The 22,883-nt window shown below is 37.7% G+C and overlaps 1 protein-coding gene across 5 annotated transcripts in view, besides 1 other annotated feature; it reads right to left on the minus strand.

The window, feature by feature from the left end:
• The window catches only part of TEX10 (testis expressed 10), a 50,859-nt gene that overhangs the window by 25,478 nt on the left and 2,498 nt on the right, over positions 1-22,883 (minus strand). For 3 of the 5 annotated variants that reach the window (NM_017746.4, XM_047423523.1, XM_047423524.1), the window contains exons 2-8: positions 21,623-21,811; positions 19,133-19,845; positions 18,511-18,754; positions 12,696-12,808; positions 2,370-2,608; positions 1,579-1,714; positions 226-401 (exon numbers count right to left, since the gene is read on the minus strand). In NM_017746.4, coding sequence (NP_060216.2) covers positions 226-401; positions 1,579-1,714; positions 2,370-2,608; positions 12,696-12,808; positions 18,511-18,754; positions 19,133-19,845; positions 21,623-21,802 — 1,801 coding nt within the window. In that variant the 5' untranslated portion in view covers positions 21,803-21,811. The remainder of the gene's footprint in view (positions 1-225; positions 402-1,578; positions 1,715-2,369; positions 2,609-12,695; positions 12,809-18,510; positions 18,755-19,132; positions 19,846-21,622; positions 21,812-22,883) is intronic. The other 2 variants (NM_001161584.2, XM_011518798.3) reach the window with 2 other exon arrangements.
• Positions 13,572-14,071: an enhancer, noted in NCBI's record as "H3K27ac hESC enhancer chr9:103103415-103103914 (GRCh37/hg19 assembly coordinates)". NCBI's record gives its function as "activates a minimal SCP1, AML or CMV promoter by ChIP-STARR-seq in primed H9 embryonic stem cells {active_cell/tissue: H9 hESC(primed)}" and the evidence as "EXISTENCE:reporter gene assay evidence [ECO:0000049][PMID:30033119]".

Genomic DNA, 22,883 nt, shown 5'->3' on the forward strand with positions numbered 1-22,883 from the left:
AGACAATTTAAGAATGCAATAAGCATCAACAATCATTAACCTTCTATATTCTAATAAATATTGAAAATGAATTTACTGTATGATGTTTTGTTCTGGCAATTTAACCATGGTATTACTAATTCAGACTAAGGGAAAGGCAAAATTACAGAGCTCCCCTTAAAAACTTCTTTTGTATATCAGGGTGGATCAATGACTACCCATACCATTAAACAAATGAACTCTTACCATAAATTCGGAGGGCAGTAGCTTGTAAACTTTTTAGTAATTCTTTATTTGCTCGTGCTGCAGCGGTATGAATGATATCGATAAGCTGTGTAGAGAGCTCAGGATTTCGGGAGCCAAGATGAGCAAGTTGCAATGGTAAGCCAGCCAGCCAACGGGATAACACTTTACTACGATATCTTAGAAAGGCCAAAGAAGAATAAAATGTAATACTCAAAGACAAGGGAAATAAATTTAAACAAAAAAAAAATTTTTTTTTAACTTAAATATATCACAAAGTGACTAATTATGTATCAATAATACCACATTTATTCATTTAAACATTTGAGAACCTACAAGATGCCAGCATCATTTTCCAAGGCTTTACCCACTAAATTAATGTTAACTGGGGCAGTATCTAAATTGTATTTTTATTTTGAAGGATAGAGACACTTAACTATTTATCCTAATCGGTGTTATTATACTATATTAACAAATGTACACATTCACCATAAGTTGCTCCCATACAAAATAGCTTCAAACTTGTGCTATTTTTATTTCTTTAGAATACTTGCTGGAGTGTAAATGTCTTGAATAACAGTGAACATTTTCACTAGGTCCCCTGAAAGGCTGGTGATTCTATCATGGACTTTGCTGTCAAGATAGACCTGAACTTAAGTCTCAGCTCTGCTATACATTAGCTACATAATACTCACCAATTTATTTATTTTCTGCTTCCTTCTGTAAAATGGAAGCTAACAGTATCCACCTCACAGTAGCAGTATGAAGATTATTGAGATTATGTAAAGTAACTTGGCTTAAAGTAAATACCAGAATACGTTACAACAACTACCTATATATGTTGAGGTATCCCAAATCTGTATCTTCCTCTCAAACATTTCTGACTATGCCAAATAAACCTCAAACTCACCTTATTGAAAAATTCCTTAGTCCACTCTTTTGTTGTCTCTCTCTGATAGCACTAAACTAAGCCAGAAACTTTCTCATCTTCTATTGCCCTCACTCTTATCCCATATGCCTCAATATGTCACTAATGGCTAGAGATTCAACCTCCGTAATTTTTATGGGAGGGGAAGAGAAAGGGCTGAGGTTGTTCCAACTGTCCCTTAGCTATAAGTGGACAGGTAGAAATGCATGCCTAAGCAGTCTTTTATCTGTTCAGATATGGGTATAAAGTTTACTGGCACTATTACGTATGCATCTTTTAAAATTTTATACCATTTCTTAAATGCAAACAAGTAGGATTAAAAAGAATGAACTTCTCCAAAGATTTAATCTCTCTAAAATTATTTAAATACTTAGACTACAGAAAAACTCAGCAAGAGAAAAAAGAAAGGAAAAATAACAAGATTTTACCTGAATCTACAAGATCTCAGTTCTTCTGTCTGATAGATTTTACTGAAAAACTTCAATAACAAAGTCCGAACTGGAAGGATAAGGCCCCTCTGCTGATATAATGTATAAACTGCCTTAATAAGAGTCTCTGTGTCCTCTACAAACAGAAAGAAAACAACTTGCATATGAATCAAAAAATGTTTAACAGCCCCCAAATTCCTCTGAATGCACCGAAGTACTTTACTTTCTTCCTATGGCAAAGCCAATTTTAGCCACAAATAGACAACTACCATTGAAGTCCTATAGCAATAGCCTAATAAAAAAGTCAAACCAATCAGTAGTTACAGTATAAATTTTCTTAACAACAAACCTAGGAATGACAAAAACCAGAATATTAGAAAGGCAATTTAGATGGGAACCAAATAGGAAAACTTTGTTTTAAAATCAAAGAATTAGTAAGTCACTCTAAAACTGACTTAATATAACTTAACCTTAAGCTAGAAAAAAGGTAAAGAGACAGGGAAGATTCATGCCATATCAATCAAGGGAAAAAGTTCTCAAGTTCTAGCCAAACTAGATCAGAAGAGGGTAGAAATCTTTATCAATCTGCTTCAGAGTGGACCTACCCACTTAGAGATACTCTGAGCCATAAACAATTTCAGTGTTCAAGTAGACAGTAGCTACCTTTTATGGCTTGAATACAATTAGCCTGACTACATGGAATGTTTACAAGCCATCATTTCAAAGCTAGACCTTAAGATAGCACATGTAAGAGCTCCACTCTTAAATAAGGGCAAAGTAGCATCACCTACCTCTGTTTGGCTGTATTTGCATTAACCTCCAGGATACTCCCAGCAATCTGTTCAGTTGCTTACTATTTAGCCTAGAGCCATCTTCAAGGGTCTCTGTTACAAATTTCCTTATCATTTCTATCCAACTGCAATCCTTCTGCAAAGTTGACGCATTTGCCAGGGAGACCATGATATCAGACAGTGTTAAATTCAGTAAGAGATGATCTATGTTATTGGAGAGAACTGTGCAATGCTTGATGCTAGAAACAAAGACACACACATCTATAAAGCATTACGTCTACCATGCCTGCTTCATTAGAATACTTAAAATAATCTATCAATGGAGTTTTAAAAAATTCCCTTCTAGAATTAATAGATGGCCAAGAAGATAGGTGCATAGGCAAGACTTAGGCCACAGTTCTATAAATAAACCATTTCATTATGGAATCAGAGTTGTTAAGAAGGTACAGAGTGTATACAGCTCAATTCATTACTCAAGGTGCTATTCACACAAAATGTAAATGCCCTTATAATATTGCCTGGGAACTTGAAAAATAAGACTTAAAAACCCTGACACACCTGATTTAAGGCAGATGCTTATATTTGGATGGAAATCACAGTAGATCTTGGCTCTGCTTTTAACTAATCATCTGACTTAAAAGAATCACTAGTCTTTCCTGGCCATAACTTTCTCACATGTGAAATAAGGAGACATACCCCGGTAAGCACTGATTTGAAACAATTTTATAATTCACATATTAATATCAGTTTATTCACTCTAGCCAAACAAAACACAATTTCAAAAAATCTAAAATAAAATATTTTAATAAAAACAAAATTTGCAACTTAGAACATACTCATTTCAGACTGTGGTATATTCAACAGCAGAGCTTATTTCTTTCATGTTTAGAAAAACATAAAGCTGGCTGGGTGTGGTGGCCCATGCCTGTAATCCCAGTGTTTTGGGAGGATGAACTGGGAAGACTGCTTGAGGCCAAGAGTTGGAGACTAGCCTGGAAAACACAGCGAGACCCCATCTCTACAAAAAATGAAAGTAAAATTAAAGCCAGGCATGGGAGCTCACGCCCGTAATCCCAGCACTTTGAGAAGCCGAGGCAGGTGGATCACCTGAGGTCAGGAGTTCAAGACCACCCTGACCAACATGGTTAAACTCTGTCTCTACTAAATACAAAAAAAAAAAATTAGCCGGGTGTGGTGGCACATGCCTGTAATCCCAGCTACTTGGGAGGCTGAGGCAGGAGAATCACTTGAACCCAGGAGGCGGAGTTTGCAGTGAGCCAAGATTGCGCCATTGCACTCCAACCTGGGCAACAGGAGTGAAACTCCATCTCAAAAAAATAAATAAATAAAAATAAAATAAGCCAGGCATGCTGGCAAGTGCCTGTAGTCCTAGCTACTCAGGAGGCCAAGGCAGGGGCATCACTTAAGCCCAGGAGTTTGAGGTTACAGTGAGCTATGATCACACAACTGCACTCCAACCTGGGCAACAAAGAGAGACCCTATCACTAAAAAACAGAAAAGAAACATGTAAATTTGACTAAAGCCATAAATATCTCAAGCCAATCAATTTTAAAGGAAAAGATTAATCCTAGTTAGTCTTGAGCAAGGGCACAGTAGTGAGGAACCACAAATACATGAGAAGGGAAATAAAAGAAATCTGGCATTATCAAGCATCAAATGTTAAGACCCGGAACGACAAATGAGCCTGGAAAGGTAAAATGAAACCAGGTTACAAAGAGCCAGAGGCTAAAGACATCAAAATTAATTGTGTAAGCAAGGGAATAACATGGTTGCAAGCTTCTTTCAGAGACATGATTGTGTGGATACGAAAAGGACAATGAGTTACAGCCTATAAACAAAGAAGCAGCACTCCAGACAAGAGATGGCAAGTCCAAGAACCAGGGTCAATACTGGTATGAACTGGGAGAAGGAGAGCATTTACAAAGAAGAAAAATTAGCCAGATTTGAAATATGCTTAAATATATACAAATATGTGAGTCTGAAGATGGTGGAGACAGGAGGAGTAATCATTAAGGGTTCTAACAGTAGTGACTAAATTCAGAGATGATGAAGAAAAAGGGGCAGAGAGATCTAGAAATTAATTCTACGTTGGATATGTTGAGCCTAAAGTATCATAATCAAATCCAGACGGAGATGGCCAACAGATAATTCAATGTACAAGTCTGACACTGGAAGAAGTCTGAGCTATTTAATAGAAATTACCCATATGACTGCTCCTAGCTGCAAAGAAAACTGGGAAATCTGTTTTTTATTTTGTGTAGTGATACATTCAGATGAAAATTAAGAATCCTATCATTAAGAAAAGAGACAGTAAACACTGGGATAGAATTGCAACATTTCTTCCCCACAGGTAGAGCTTTGGAAAATTTACCGTAAGTTTATCTCAGGCAGCATAATCTATTACAATCCGGAAAGTCTCAATGGACATCTGCAAACTTGGGAGAGTTCCTTCTGCTCCTCCAATAACATATACAGAAATTTCAAAGACTAAATATACCAACCAACAATTCTAGGAGGAAGGCAGATCTCTGATGAAACTTTAACTTCCAGTAAAGGTAGTATAGGTAATTATAATATTGCTCAAAACAGGCCGGGCGCAGTGGCTCACGCCTGTAATCCCAACACTCTGGGAGGCCGAGGTGGGCGGATCACGAGGTCAGGAGATCGAGACCATCATGGCTAACACGGTGAAACCCCACCTCTACTAAAAATATAAAAAATTAGCCGGGCGCGGTGGCAGGCACCTGTAGTCCCAGCTACTCAGGAGGCTGAGCCAGGAGAATAGCGTGAACCCGGGAGGTGGAGCTTGCAGTGAGCCGAGATCATGCCACTGCACTCCGGCCTGGGTGACAGAGCGAAACTCCATCTCAAAAAAAAAAAAATTGCTGAAAATAACTAGAAGTGCAAGATTCCAGCACTCAAGGTTTAGTCCTGAGGGCAACTGCCAGTTCCAAAGAAAAAAGCTGCAAAACTAAGGCAACCTTTTAGTGGCCCCACAAGAAAAGAAAGTCAAAAGTCAAAGCCTAGGGCCTACCAAGACATTCCTACCTGTTTTTTGTTTTTTTGTTTTTGAGACAGAGTGTTGCTCTGTCACCCAGGCTGGAGTGCAGTGGCACGATCCTCCCACCTCGGCCTCCCGGGTAGCTGGGATTACAGGAACATGCCACCACACCCAGCTAATTTTGTATTTTTAGTAGAGATGGGGCTTCACCATGTTGTCCAGGCTGGTCTGTAACTCCTGACCTCAAGTGATCCACCCGCCTCGGCCTCCAAAAGGGCTGGGATTACAGGTGTGAGCCACTGTGCCCGGACAACATCCCTACCTTAAGCTTGGCCCTTAAAGGTTTCTCTCCCAGGAAAGTAAAAATAAGTCAAGATAAACCTGAATCCTAGTTCTGCATCATTCTAGCAGTTTAAGGAATAATTCTTCCTAAACTAATCTATAGATAGATTCAACACAATCCAAATCAAATTTCTAGCAAGCTATTTTGTAATTGTTGACAAAATGATTCTGAAGTCTATATGGAAAGGTCAAAGACCCAGAATACCAAACATAAGACTAAAGCAAAACAAGCTGGGCATGGTGGCTCATGCCTGTAATCCCAACGCTTTGGGAGGCTAAGGCGGGAGGATCCCTTGAGCCCAGTTCAAAATCAGCCTGGACAACATAAGAAGACCCCATCATAAAAAAAAAAAAAAAAAAAACCACAACAAAAAAATGCACTAAAGCAAAACAAAGCTGGAAGACTCACACTCCCCATTTTCAAGACTCCCAATAAAGCTACAATAAGCAAGATAAGATGGTATTGGTGAAACAATAAACATACATAAATTAATGGAACACAGTCCCAAAACGGACCCATGAAAATAGTCAACTGAACTTTGACAAATGAGCAAAGGAAATTTAATGGATAAAGTACAGTCTTTCCAATGAACGGTGATAGAACAACTGGAAAGAATTCTAGAATTGAAAAATAAAAAATGAAAATTCAATGGACTTATGTTTGACTACAACTGAATACAACTAAAGAATTAAAAACTGGAAGAGATAAAAGATTAAAAAATAGGTGGAGGATTCAGTAAGTAGATGTAACATGCATTAAATTGGTCTTGAAAGGGAAGAAGAGAAATTGGCAAATGTTTAAAAGATAATACGTTTTTCAGAAGCGATGAAAAGACATTTCATTCAAGATTCAAGATCTCAGATATCCACTAAATCCCAAGCAGAATAAACAGAAAAGAAAATCACACCTGGATACATCACTGTGAAATTGCAGAAAATGAAAGACAAGAAGAAAAACTTTAGGGGGAAAAAAAAAACACAGATAACTCTTAAAGTATCAACAGTTAAGACTCATAGCTGACTTCTTAACAATAGAAACCAGGACACAGTAAAATATTATTGTCAGTGTGCTCAAAGAAAATAACTGCCAAATCTATAATATTAACCCTGCTAAAACATTCTTCAGAAATGCGAGAGAAATACATTTTTATGGGGGGAGAAAAAAACGAACTAAAGAAGACTCTAAATGATCCCAGGGAGGACTGAGATACATGAAAAACATGAAGAGCAAAAAGGTAGTAAATCTAAGGACAGAATTCACAGTGGTAGACAGAAGTTTACTAAAGTATCAATTTTTGCTTGAAAGCTCAAATTTTATCATTGGCAACAAATGCCATTTGTTTTCCTGGAACTGATAGGCTCATTTTGTTCTTTTTTTTTTTTTTCCTGAGACAGAGTCTCACTCTGTCACCCAGGCCAGAGTACAGTGGCACTATCTTGGCTCACTGCAACCTCCACCTCTGGGCTTCAAGTGATTCTCCCACCTCAGGCTCCCAAGTATCAGGGGTTACAGTTGTGCGCCACCACACTTGGCTGATTTTTGTATTTTTAGTAAAGACAGGGTTTCGCCACGTTGGCCAGGCCAGTCTCGAACCCTTGATCTCAGGTGATCTGCCCACCTTTGCCTCCCAAAGTGCTGGGATTACAGGCGTGAGCCACCGCGCCTGGCCAGTCACTTTGTTCATTTTTGTGAAAACATGTGCCAAACACCCAAATCTGAATAACCACAGTTTGTCAGTCATTTTTTTTCAAGTTAAAATCTAGTCCATTCCAGGAAAATACAAGTAAGAAATTCCCACAGGGCTATTTCCTTGAGACAATCATAGTTCTTTGATATGCAGCAGAAATGCTTTATGTACACTTCCCATTCATCACACAGAATATTAAAAATATGCGTTCTCAAGGGTCAAGACTTTTTTTTTCTTTTTGGAGAAGTCTCGCTCTGTCGCCCAGGCTGGAGTGCAGTGGTGTGATCTCGGCTCACTGCAACCTTCATCTTCAGGGATCAAGCAATTTTCCTGCCCCAGCTTCCTGAGTATCTGGGACTACAGGCGCCCGCCACCATGCCCAGCTAATTTTTTGTATTTTTGGTAGAGATGGGTTTCACCGTGTTAGCCAGGATGGTCTAGGTCTCCTGACCTCATGGTCCGCTGCCTCAGCCTCCCAAAAGTGCTGGGATTACAGGTGTGAGCCACCACACCCGGACAAGGGTCATGACTTAATACAATTATTTATGTTTACTGCTTATTCAGGACCTTCTTAAGTGAAACTGGCTTGTTTTTTTTTCAACTGTGAGTGTATGGTGGTAAAGAATACATGTCTACTAGTATAGTTTGGTGCCACTGCCTTAATTCAGCCTAAGATACTAACAGTTTTACCCACCATTGCTTTCGTATCATTAGTGCAAATGTCAAAACAATGAAAAATGCAAAGCATGTCCTTTTTTTTTTTGAGATAGATGGTGATGATCACACAATATTGTGAAAGTACTTAATGCCACTGAACTGTACACTTAAAAAGTGGTTTAAATGGTTAATGTTATATATATTTTACCCCAATAAAAATAAATTATATCATTTTTAACTCTGTATTTCAACCTGAGATTTTAAAATGTAGGTATCAGGTTAAAAATACAGGCTGGGCACAGTGGCTCGCCTGAGGTCAGGAGTTCGAGACCAGCCTGACCAACATGGTGAAACCCCGTCTCTACTAGATACAAAAAATTAGCCGGGCATAGTGGCACATGCCTATAATCCCAGCTACTTGGGAGGCTGAGGCAGAAGAATTGCTTGAACTCAGGAGGTGGAGGTTGCAGTGAGCTGAGATAGTGCCACTGCACTCCAGCCTGGGCAACAAGAATGAAACTCCATCTCAAAAAAATGAATAAATAAATAAACAAAAAATAAAAATACACTGGGGGTACCTGAATAAGAAGTGCAAACAACATTGTCCTAGATTAGGGGTCCCCAACCCCTGGCCATAGACTGGCACCAGTCCGCGGCCTGTTAGGAACCAGGCCACACAGCAGGAGGTGAGCGGCAGGCAAATGAAGATTGTTCTGTATTTACAGCTGCTCCCCATTGCTCACATTACTGCCTGAGCTCTGCCTCCTGTCATATCAGTAGTGGCATTCGATTCTCATAGGAGCATGAACCCTATTGTGAACTGTGCATGCGAGGGATCTACGTTGCATGCTCCTTATGAGAATCTAACACCTGAAGATCTGTCACTGTCTCCCATCACCCCCAGATAAGACTGTCTAGTTGCAGGAAAACAAGCTCAGGGCTCCCACTGATTCTACATTATGGTAAACTGTAAAACTGTTTCATTACGTATTACAATGTAATAATAGAAATAAAGCGCACAATAAATGTAATGCACTTGAATCATCCCAAAAACCAAGCCTCCCACCTCAGGTCCATGGAAACATTGTTTTCCATGAAACTAGTCCCTCATAGCAAAATGGTTGGGGACCGTTGGCCTAGACCACTGTTGACTTCCCTAACTGTGATTTGTGCTGCTGTTCACAGGCTATTTGCTAAGTATTTAATGCATTTACTTAAGAGTAGCCTGTAGGCTCCCCAAAAATCAATCATGAGGGGGGAATCTTTTGAAAAGTAGGTCACACTGGCAATCCATCTTTGCTAAAAATCCCTCAATTTCATCATCTCAACCTCCTCATAAAGTTAATTCCTTTTCTTTTTTCCCATTTATATCTCAGCACGCTGTCACTTCCATCAGGGCAGCCTTCTCTAAGATGGTCCTCCCCTCATGAAAGATCAGGACCAACTCTTTGTTACATACTCCTGTATTAACCTAAGCTCTTCCTTCACTATATCTATCACAATCAGTCACTGATTAAAGAATCAAGTGAAATAAATGTCTTTTTCATTAGACCGTACTCCATGAGAGCTGGTACTCTACCTATTTCCTTTACCATGAAATGCTCAGCAACTAGTACAATAAGTGCCTTGCACATAAGAGTCCAATAAATTTCTTGAATGATGATATGCTGATACATTTTTCAATAATTTATTTACACTGAAGTCTACTAAATCCTAAACATCTAAACCACAATTTAATCACATTTTGATGAAAATTATACATGGAATGCCTTATTTGAAAAAATACACATACATATAATTCTCCATCAATACTTTGAGAGTTCATGGATTTTCTGAAGCTTACCTATGAATCCCAGAAGAAAAACTCTAATAAGAAAATTGTATGGGGGGAAAAAGTCTAACATCTTGCTCAATAAAGTGTCTCTTTGATTCTGTCCCCTCAACTCCAGAAGCTCCCTAAAACAGTTCTGACTGAACCAAAAGTCTTCAATGCCAAAAGGATCTGAAAGATGAACTCCTGAGTCAAGAAACGGCTTCCACATCAAGGCCAGTGAAGAGCAGAAATCAGACTGGACCCAGATCCACGCTCTCCATCCATTTCCTAATCCTGTAGCTTTCTTGTATGCTATCTCCTCTAGTTACAAAAGTCTCATCCCTTGCATTTCTGCCTCCTGAAACCATATCCACGTTCATACCCAGTTCAAATACTACTCTTCAATTTAGCTTTGTCTGTTTATCCTAATAAGCAGTTATCTGTCTCTTCCTATGAATTCTTATAGCACTTAGTTGTATAGTTCTAATGATACTTTTATACTGCTTTGTGTTACATATGTAAATATACACATGTAAATGTTAGTTACAGAGCTACTGTTTCTCAGCTTCAAAGTCGCCCTCTATACTCTGCTTTGTGACCCTGGGGTTGGGACTCTGCGACCCACATTTTTTCCTTTGTAGATGGCTTATTAGGCTCTGCCAATAAAGGGGTGGTACAAAGGGCCTAGAAAGCTGTAAGAGGAAGACGGGACACTCTTCTGTTTGCTTGCTAGTTTTGTTTTTGTTTCCTATTGCTGCCAGTGTTGATCGGCAGCTCTTCTTCAGGTCATTTGCAGTTCATTATAGTAGCCATAGCAGACTCCAGTTTGTAGTTTTTCTGACACAGAACCAGAATCATCATGCCTCTAAGAAACGTCAGCACCAGCCAGCCAGCACCCGCTTTTCAGAGTACTGGGCCCCAGCCCTATGGGGTTCTTGCTCTCAGCTAAAGATATCAGTACCTGCCTGAGGAGCATACCCTTCTGAGAGGTTAGAGTTTTGGCTCCCTTCCTCCAAGCTTCTTCCCTTCTTTGTTCTCCCAGTTCTACAAGTAGTATCTGCTTCTTGCAGTTGGTACCTCCATAATACCTAACTTCCTTTGCATACCTAGTTAACAATTATTTACATTAAATTCTCTTGTTAAAAAAATCACTGTCGGCCAGGCACGGTAGCTCACACCTGTAATCCCAGCACTTTGGGAGGCCAAGGTAGTGGGTCACGAGGTAAGGAGTTTGAGACCATCCTGGCTAATATGGTGAAAGAAACCCCATCTCTACTAAAAATACAAAAATTAGCCAGGCGTGGTGGTGCATGCCTATAATCCCAGCTACTCAGGAGGCTGAAGCAGGAGAATCGCTTGAACCTGGGAGATGGAGGTTGCAGTGAGCCAAGATTACGCCTTGCACTCCAGCCTGGGCAACAGAGTGAGACTCTGTCTCAAAAAAAAATCACTGTCGCAGTTTCTGTTTCATGACTGGACCCTGACACATTCTTTTATGATTCAGAATATAATTGCTTAAGGCTGGGTACAGTGGCTCATGCCTATAATTACAGCACTTTGGGAGGCTGAGGTGGGCAGATCACTTGAGGTCGGGAGTTCAAGACCAGCCTGGCCAATATGGTGAAACCCTGTCTCTACTAAAAATACAAAAATTAATCAGGCATGGTGGTGAACACTTGTAATCCCAGCTACTTGGGAGGCTGAGGCAGCAGGATCACTTGAACCCAGGAGGCAGAGGTTGCAGTAAGCTGAGATGGTGCCACAGCCTGGGAAACAGAGTGAGACTCCATCTCAAAAAAAAAAAAAAAAAAAAAAAAAAAAAGTATATATATATATATACATATATATATACACATATTTGTTTTTTATATATATTTATATATTATATATAATATACATTTTTATATATTTATATATATTTATATATATTTATAAAACTGCTTAGGAGGGCAAGGTACAAGGCTTAAAAAATCTGATCCTCTCTATCACAATACTTTGTTCTACCCTGTTCACAGTAAGCAACCAAAACAAATATTTAGTGCATGAATGAAAAACTCTTATGCCTGAAATAGCTGTATTGCTTCCAAGCATATTCTCTGAACCCTGCTCAAAAAACCTCAATGATTCTCTAGCTAATGTATTCCCTTTGATAAAAGAGCCTTTGACAGATTTTAAGATCCCTTGCAAGTGTATGCTCATTTACGGGAACTACAGTATTAGTATTTTAGCTTGTACCTGCTTGTCAAATTTTATTACATAACTTGTTCTCACATTTATCTGCTCTTACTTGAGGTAGACATTTTAAATAATTTCTAGGCTTACTTTTTTTTTTTTAACTTTCACCTTCTAATCAATTACCTTTTATTTCTGATTTTTCTCCAATTACCCTCCTTCCTTCGGGATACTGATATTAGTTTCAATACCAGGTTCCTCATGTATAAATGAGAGTGGAACTAGATGATCATCAAGATATTCTCTTGCTTAAGAGGTTCAATAATCACACAGTGCCTCACCCAAATAAACCATACACCTTGGCAATTTTATTAAATTCGTATTTACATAAGCTGATACATTCATCTAGCACAAAAAAACCATTTTACAGACTAAAAAATAAAAATAAAATGTTAATCCCAAGGTTCAAACTCACTTGTCCAAAAATCAGCCATATTACTACTTTTATTTTCACAAAATCTAGACATAAATACACAGCAGTGTAGAAAGTTCCATATTAAGGTTAATTACTTCCTGATAATTTCAGGTTAAACAGCTTTTCAAGGTTATACAGTGAAAAAGAATCATAATACCTTTTATTTGGCTCTTTCCTTTTGTGCTTGGTTATTTCTTTTAAGACATATGGAAAACGACTCATAAAATGGTGTTTAAAATCAATAAGGTAGTTCTTTCGAAGCCATGACTCCTATTGAAATAGCAAAGATTAGAAAAATCTACAAGAAAAAATGTAAAATAAGCAATAAAACTTGAAGAGAAATGACAACTTGTCAAATAAATGTCCCATCATAATTCACTTTCTACCAGTAATATAATATGTAAATAAATTTAAAAATCAGAATTAACTGTTAAAGCACCCACTTTTCATCTATAGATCCTTTTGGTGCTTAATAACTATTTACTTGCATTCTGTCTGCTGCTTAAGAGAGAAAAAGTGAAAGTATCTGAGACTTAAGAAAATTCTGAATTTGGACTACTAATGCAATGTTTATGAAATATACAAGAAAGTCTTTCTCCCTGATGTTCTGTCTACACCATAACTCTATTCTCCAGCAATTCCATTATTTAACAATTTCACAAAGCAATGCATTTACTTAAAATGCTTCAGTAGTATTGGTGAATTTATCATTTCCCTCCTATGGAAACACTGTCTTTCTAATTCCAAATTAGAATATTCTTTATTTCCTCTTATCCAAGGTAACCAACCATCCCATTTTGTCAGAGACTGAGAAGTTTCCTAGATGTGGGACTTGAGGTGCTAAAACAGCTGGTCACCCTACAGCTCAATTTGGTTTTTTTTTTTGAGATGAAGTCTCGCTCTGTCGCCCAGGTCGGAGTACAGTGGCACTATCTCAGCTCACTGCAACCTCTGCCTCCCAGATTGAAGCGATTCTCATGCCTCAATCTCCTGAGTAGCTGGGATTACAGGTGCCCATTACCACGCTCGGCTAATTTTTGTATTTTTAGTAGAGCTGGGTTTCACCATGTTGACCCGGCTGGTCTTCAACTGCTGACCTCAAGTGATCCACCTACCTTGGCCTCCCAAAGTGCTGGGATTACAGGCGTGAGCCACTGCACCCGGCCTTACAGCTCAATTATTGTTCCTCCTTAGTATCTTTACTGGGTTCTCTTCTTCCTGACTTCTAAACGTTTGGATCTGCCCAGTAATAATACTTGAATCATTTCTGCCTGAGCTCCAGATTTTATATGCAAATACATACTTGACACTTCCTCTTCAACTTCTGACAAGCATCTTAAAACTTAACATGAATAAAACCAAATTCTCCCTGCCAAATGACTTTCTTTCTCATTTGGGCGATGTAACACTGGCATCATCCTTGACTCCTCTTTCCTTCATTATACATACCAACAGTCTGGCTGGCTTTACCTAGATCCAGCTAGTTCTCATCATTTCAACCACTAGATACCCGGCCACCATCATCTTTTACTTGGATTACTGCAATAGCCTCCTAACCAGTCTGCCTGTTTCTCCTCTTATCCTCCAAAAGTCAATTCCCCACACAGCAGCCAGGGTGATCTTTTAAAACATAAATCGTGTTTCAAAATGATACAGGAAGGGGGAAAGGAAACGAAATGTATATACATGTAGGACAGGACTGGTCATCCAAGAGATGATGGTTGCTAGAGTTAGACTGTGAGCACCTGGGAGTTCACTAGTGTTCTATTTTTATAAATTCAGCACATTAAAGTTAAATAAATATAATGCAGATCATGCCACTCCTCTGCTCAAAACCCTCCAGTGGTCTTTTCGCCACACTCAGGTTAAAATCCAAACTCCTTACCAGGGACCACAGAGTCCCACATGATCTGGCCACTATCACTCTTCTTCGCCCCCATCTTCTACCATTCTCCCAGTACCTCATTTGCACAGGCCTTCCTGCCATTCTTCAAATATGCGAAGCCTGTTCTCACCTCAAAGCCATTGTACTTGCTGTTTCCTATGCCTGAATGTTCTTCCCACAGATGTTGACAAGACTTGCTCCTTCACTTCAATGACATTCAGATATCTTATTCTCAGAGAGCATTTGACAACCTATCTAAAATAGCTCCCCCTCACTGTTCCTGCCCATGCTCTTTATACCCCATTTTACTTTCATCTTTCTTCCTAGTACTGACATTATATATTTGTTTACTGTCTATAGATCCCACCAGAAGGTACATACCATGAGGGCAAGCACCTTATCAACCATGTTTATCTCTGTAGCCCCAGAGTCTAGAATAGTACTATTCAAAAGACCTTTCTGTAATGATCAAACTGTTCTATATCTATCTGCACTGTCCAATATAGTAACCACTACCCACATGTAGCTGTTGAGCACTTGAAATGTGGCTAGGGTTACTGAGGAATTGAATTTTAAATTTTAATTAATTTAAGTAGCCATTATTTATTGATGCCCAATAAAGCTTTGAATAAATGCCTTATAAAGTATGACTGCATTAGTGTTTGGTTACAAACTCTAACCCTCACAGCAAAAGGATAAAAGCAATGAGACACACACGTAGAGAAAAAGTAGCAAGCAAGTCAAGCATTAAATGCAAAGCTAAGACACAATTTTTATAACATAATACTGACCCTGACACTACTAATACAGTACCCTAAAAACCACAGTAAATCAAAAAGCTAATGTTAAACTGTAATTTCATTTTAAAAACTAGCTATATCGGCCGGGCGCGTTGGCTCATGCCTGTAATCCCAGCACTTTGGGAGGCTGAGACAGGTAGATCACGAGGTCAGGAGATCGAGACCATCCTGGCTGACACGGTGAAACTCCGTCTCTACTAAAAATACAAAAAAAATTAGCTGGGCATAGTGGCAGGCGCCTGTAGTCCCAGATACTTGGGAGGCTGAGGCAGGAGAATGGCGTGAACTCGGGAGGTGAGCCAGGATCGCGCCACTGCACTCCAGCCTGGGCGACTGAGTGAGACTCCGTCTCCAAAAAAAAATAAATAAAAATAAATAAAAACTAGTTATATCAAGGATATAGCTAGCTAACTATTAAGAATACATACAGTAGTAGTTCAACATGTGCACAAAATGTTAGAAATTGCTGCAACTAGATGGGGGTAGGCAAGTGCTTATTGTATTCCTTCTGAAGGTTTGACTTTAAAATAAAAAAGATAGGTAAGGGAATGCAAAAAAAAAAAAGAAAGAAAGAAAAGAAAAATAGTGCCAAGGTAATCAAATGTAAAACAACAATCTTTTCAACAAATAGTGCTGGAATAAATGGCTGTTTATATGAACAGGAAAAAAAAAAGATACACACAGTATTTCAGAAATAAACAACTTCAGTTGATTATTACAGAATCTGACTATTCAGCCACTGCATGTAAGACTTAATGTACCCTGAGACTTCTTTTCAAAGTAAGGATCAAAGCTTCAAATTACTAAAAAGTTTAAAAAAAAAAAAAAACTACCTGAATACAAGTGAAATTTCTTGACTTTTTGTAAATACTAGCAAACTAAATGCATTAAGCTGCAGCACCAACATGTAAAAGCAAACAGTCAGTAGTCCTAAGACTATATCTAACCGAGACATCAATTTACCAATAGAAAAATCTATACAGTTTCTGAGAGAAAAAGAGTTACAATTCAGCTTGTGGTGTGTGATCTGACATCAATGCCAAGCAATGCTATTTGGTTCCTCCTAAAGATTAGGCTGTGGCCAGGCAAAGAGGCTCATGCCTGTAATCTCAACACTTTGGGAGGCCAAGGTGCAAGGATATTTAAGGCCAGAAGTTCAAGACCAGAATGTGCATTTTAATGTCATTTTGTATAGAATGCTACTAACAATCTATCATTTTGTATAGATTGTACCAATGATGTACATTTTTATACTCTGTCTCTAAGATAATGGTTCCTTTTTAAAAAATAAATAAATAAATAATGGTTCTTATCAAGTTATTACAAATCTGCCAAGGTGAATTAGAGCATTCTACCAGTGGATGTTTTTAAATATTATTCCTATCTGAATTTATTTATTTCAGCTTTATACAGTATCTCAATTTGTATTCTGATCTTCAACAGTCTACGCAGTCTTTTAAACTTACCATTATATGTTAATGAGCTGCTAATAAGCCTAGTCATGTTATAATAGCACAAAATAGTTCTAAAGCATACTATTTTAAATATCCATAAAACTAAAGCAGTATTTAGATCCTTTGTTAGTGTTATCCAGATAAGATGACCCAAAACTAGCATAATTAATAAATTTTCAGATTTTGAATTTTGGTCCTACTAGTCTATCTAAATACAAATGCTACTAACAAAGCAGTAACAAAAGTTTACTAGTGCTTATATGTAATCAAACACCGAAGAAGCTTGGAATTTTTACTTCTTGGCTCTCTAAAAATGAAAAAACTAGGCCAGGCGTGGTGGCTCACGCCTGTAACCCAACACTTTGGGAGGCTGAGGCGGGTGGATCACCTGAGGTCAGGAGTTCAAAACCAGCCTGCCCAACATGGTAAAACCCCGTCTCTACTAAAAATACAAAAAATTAGCCACGCATGGTGGCGGGCACCTGTAAGCCTAGCTACTCAAGAGGCTGAGGCAGGAGAATTGCTTGAACCCAGGAGGTGGAGGTCTCAGTGAGCCAAGATCGTGCCACTGTACTCCAGCCTAGGCAACAAGAGCGAAACTATGTCTCAAAAATAAAAAGAAAAGAAAAAACTAGCACTCAAAGTCCATGTTGAATATTACTTTTTCTTTTTTATAGGACATCTTAAGGACTTTAGCATTACTTTTATTTTCTATCTGAACCTTTCAGATGATCATAGATCAAGACTGTAAGTACTATATACTTTTTTTAAAGGAGCTATATACATTCTTACTGTCTCTAGCCTACATCACAAATTAACTGCCATATGAGAAACAAGCTTTGCTTTCTCAAAATCTTACATTATAGCCCTATTATTAATTTTTTGCCAATGTATGCAATGAATCATAAAACAAAGTCTCAAAACCGTAATCAATAAAATGCCATCTTATTTGAAAAAGCAATTGACAAAACATTCCTACAGATGATGAGTTAACAGCAATAGAACACGCTCTTAAAATATACACCTTACTACAACTCTATAATGCTTTTCAAGACTATCAAATACTACTTAATTTATCCCGTCTTATGCACCATACTGACTCATTCTAAACTTCAACTTGAAATAAAAATAAAACAAAAACAAGAAAACTACCTTCTCAGTTTTATATAAACTTGAAGGATTCACACCTGCCTTATCAAAAGTCCTTACAGCAATTCTTCTGAAAACCAGATGCTTCTAGCTTTGAAGTCTTGCTTCTGTAGCTACCCTTTTCAAGTGTGTTACTGTATTGATTTAGCACCAACTTAATCTTGCAGCTTGTTCCTCCTTGGTTGCAAAGGAAAAGTGTAGCATACACTATGCACTACATTCACTATAGCACAACACTTAAAACAATTCAAGTCTGATCATGAGCTCTTCAGTTTTGTCCCTTTCTACTAAACCTGGCAATGTGGAATAAATTGAAAGAGACTACTTAATAAGCAACTTTTTAAACCTTGTAAGAGACCTTTCAGAAACTAGAATGTTCCTACACAATCAATCTGCCATAAACAATACACTGTAACACTACTATGAATTATAGCCAGTAAAAAACTAATGGAACCAAGCATGAGTTACGCATTTCACTTAAATATATATATATATATATTCACAGATAATAACTTCAGAAAACTAATTTGTAGTTTTGTGCAAAACAAACAAGTTTACAGTTAAACCCAGGGTACTTTTCAGAAAAATATATAACCAATTAGTAGTAATGAGCTGATTTCGAATCTTGCCATTTATGATAAAAGGCTATTAATACTAAGAAAATAAAGAACCATTAGTTCTCACCAATTTATGGGTTTCATCCTGTTGTTTAGAGAGTTTCCACAGAAGGGAAATAATATTAAGAACTTGCTGCATAACCTGTAGAGGTTCTCGTTCTATACCATTCCCAACAGGAGTAGCTAGTTGTGGAGGTACAGCTTCAACCCAGCATTCAATTAGCAATGGAATTATTATCTCAATAAATCCTTTCAGGTTTTCAGTAGATGACAGGCCTTCATCCACACCACTCAGTCCTCCAACCAGATACCTAATAAGGGTAAGAAAGAAAAAAATTAAGTGATTAAAAAATGTTTATTATCCCTTGCTAATTTAAATCTTAAATATAAAGTACTAGTAAAATGAAGCACCATGAACTGATAATTACATCAATCAAAACTAGTAAGAAAAATGAAATTCTAAGATGACAAAGCCAAAAGATATTATCAAGTTTTATTTCTCAAAGGCTTTGCTATAAATAAATTAACATACAAATAACTCTTCCCATCAGTAAATAAAATCAAATCATGAGTAACTATATGAAAACTATGAAAGACAACTGCATGTCTTCCCACCAACAGTCATCAATGGTTAGCAGTTATAATTCAATACAGCAAAACTGTGTGGACATAACTGAAATCCTTCTTACCGTAGCCTGAACTGTGAACTGACATTTGGCTGTGAACCCCCATTTTCATAAACCTGGATGTGTTGCTGGTCGTTGGCATGTTCCTTCCAGTTGATAAAAATGGAGTTGCTAGTGGCATGGGGATTTTCTTTCTGTTCCTGAAGTCCTTCACTTTCTCTCAACCTACTGGATCCATCTGCCAAGGCCTGAAGGAATTTACTGAGTCTCACTAAGACTTTCAGCCTCCATTGCTGAGAAGTGAGTCTCCGATTAGGATTTACAGAAAGTATCCAGGACTGGGATCTGTCTCTATTTATCAGTCCTTTGGACAGCTGCTGATGAGAAATAAGTTCTACAAAATTCTTAAGCAATATGCTGCTACGGCCAGTAATTAGAGCTGGGTACTGTTCCAGCAGAATGTCCAAAACTTTTAAAGAGTCCTCCTGAATTCCTTCAGTAATGTGAGTCATGGCACTAGAGAGATGGGCACTTACCAAAGGAAAAAATGGAGAAATTTGTTCAGCTCGTATTTTGGGGGCCAGGAATTGAAGAAGTTGAACTGCTGCTAATCGTACATTAGCATCTTTATCTGTAAACACAGCAGTCACTTCACTTAATATGTTTGAAAGGTGTGCATCAATTATAAATGGGTATTGAGACAAAAGGTCTTTAAGTCCAAGAAGAGCACTTTGTTTAACCCCAGCATTGTAGTGATGCATCTGTGACAGCAAATCCTATAAATAAAAATACAAATTTTAGATGTATACTTATATACATGTATCAATTTCACGTAAACATGCTAACTAACACTACACTAGTAAACTGACACTCCTTGGGGAAACTGCTTCAATAAGTACTTTTTAAATGTTATTTAGCTTTTGTTAGGATCAGAAACAGAAAAATACTTTCAGCTTAATAAAAACATTGCATAATTTTCAGTTGGAATTTTCTCTCTTTACATTAACCTACATGCAGGCTTAGGCGCTCTATGATATAAAGTGACAGCAATCACACCATCATTTATTGAAAACCTACTAGGTACCAAACATCATGGAAGGTGTATATATATACTCTTGACAGGCCGTTTCTGCCTGTTTCAAATGGGCTTTCACAGGGTGTTTGTGTTTTATTCAGAGTATACTACCTGACAATTTTATCTGTGGAATAATTTATGTAACCTTTGGGAAAAAAAAAACTTTAAATAACTCTTTAGTATTATTTAAACTTCAGAGCTTAAAAAGCAAAACTCGAAAAATGTATATCCTCACAAAGACCTACACACAAATATTCATAACAGCATTATTCATAAGAGCCAAAAACCAGAAACAAACTAAATGTTCATCAACTGCTGAGTGATCAACAATATGTGACCTAATCATGCAATGAAATACAATTCGACAATACAAAGGAATGTACCACTGTTCTGATATATGCTACAAGCTACATACAACCTGGAGGAACCTCCAAAACACTGTGCTAAGTAAAAGGCCAGTAACAAAAGGCCATGTATTATATGATTTCATTTATATGCACTTTCTAGAATAAGCAAATCTATAGATATCAGAGGTAGATTAGTGATTGCCTAGGGCTGGAAGAAATGAGAAGTGATTCCTAATGGGTATAAGTTTTCTTCTTGGAGTGATAAAAACGTTCTAAAATTAGATTAAGGTGATAGTAGCATAACTCTGTAAATATACCAAAACCAATGAATTGTATTCTTTAAATGAGAGATTTTAATTATGTGTAAATTATATCTCCATAAAGCTGTTAGATTCTTAAGCAACACTTCTCAAACTTCAATTGACTTCAAGTATTTACTACAAACCTATAATAAACTATGTGCTGTATGGGTTCAAAAATGAATGACAGGATTGTATCTTAATTCGCTAAAAAACAGCTAGAAAACTGTTCATCAAAAATTTGACACATCAAAAACATGTAAGAATTATTTCCAGATACAGCCAGGTGCCGTGGTTCACGCCTACAATCCCAGCACCTCAGGAGGCCTTGGCTGGAGGATTGCTTGCATCCAAGAGTTTGAGACCAGCCTGGGCAACATATTGCAACCTTGCCTCCACAAAAAAATAAATTAGCCAGGCATGGTGACGCTCGCCTGCAGCCCCAGCTACTTGGGAGGCTGAAGTAGGAGGATCACTTGAGCCCAGAAGGTCCTGGCTGCAGTGAGCCATGATAGCACCCCATTGTGCTCAACATGGTGTAAGAGTGAGACCTGTCTCAAAATAAATAAATAAATAAATAAATAAATCATCAAATAAATATACCAGGGAGAAACAACTGTGCATTTAGTTTAGCGAACGTTTCTGGAGGAAGTGGAAAGACACAGCTGCATGAGAGATCTTTGGGTAAAAGATAAACTCCAAACATCAATAAACCCTAAGACCCTAGGCAAACTATTTACTCTAAGAGTTTAGACAAATTTTCACAAAAATATAACATTCTACACGATTCCAAAGAAAATCTTATTTTGTCAAAACATGATTTATGATTTACCTTTATGTTAAGTTTTCTATTGTTTGTTGGAAGTGTTCCATCCTCTTTGAGTTGCTCAGGCAGATGTATAGTCTTTGTTTTAAAGTTTGTAGGAGTAGCATTTTGTAACTTGGGCTTCTTTTTACCAACTTTCAATTTTACTTTTTGAAAATCATGTTGGCGTTTTCTTTTTTTAGTCATTCTCGACTACTATAATGAAAAGAATTAATTAAAAGCAATGGATAGAGACAAGAATAAATTATGAAAAAAGGCACTTTCCAACACATACTACTGTAACATTTATTTCAATCGTAATCAAGAATCTGATTATGCTGAAAGATCAAAATATTAAAAAATGCTGTTAAGAACTATTAAAAACTCAGTTTAGTGATAAAATACTGTAACAAGGCAACAGTCTTGCCACGGTTTTGCAAAGTTTTTTGGGTCACAGAACCTTTTGTCAAGCTATATGCTAAAGGGAAACCTTCTGAAATGTGTTTTTTTTTTGTTTTCCTTTGTTCGAGTGTAGGAGAGCAGCACAGACTTCCTAGAGATGTAACTTGTATCTGCTGGTGTGCTCCTGGGCTTCGTAAGAGCCTCGGAGGAACTTCTCTAGCAATACCAAACAAAGTTGGAAAACCAATGTTATTCTTTAATGCAGCCTATAACCATTAGAAAAAGATTTATGAACCTAAGCTGAGCATGTGAAAAATGGGTAATATTCAAATACACAGCAAGGAGAATAATAGGCCTTTCAAGAGCAAGGAAAACAAGGTAAAGATCAGGTGTAGGGGATAAACCTAGCACAGCAAAAGTGAATAAACCTCAGACTAAACAGAAAACAGTATTCCCCCTTGGTCCCCAAAAAGGATAAAAAGCAGCATAAAAAGAAATATAATGTAATAGGGGGATAAGGAACAAAGACCAGCTAAGCCACTATTATAATAAATAACTCAGGCATAACACCATGCCATCTTGTACTTCCTCCCCCTCTATACCACATTCCAAACCTTGCACTTACACATGAAATCTTTGATCTGTGTCTCTTACCCATTTCCAGGCCACTACTTTCAAGAAGTCCTTTATTTCTACCATTCAATACCTTCCCCACTGGTACTCCTGCCTACTATCTAGTGTCTCCTCTCTAGTCCACTGGCCCTTTACGAAACAGCTCTCTCTGAACACAGATCTCATGACCAAGACTCAAGAGTTCTCAGCTGTTCTATTCCTCATACATAGTAAAACCTCCTTAGCAGGACATATGAGGTCCTTCCTAATGTGG

This window comes from Homo sapiens, chromosome 9 (assembly GCF_000001405.40).
Source record: "Homo sapiens chromosome 9, GRCh38.p14 Primary Assembly".
NCBI classification, from domain to species: Eukaryota; Metazoa; Chordata; class Mammalia; order Primates; family Hominidae; genus Homo; species Homo sapiens.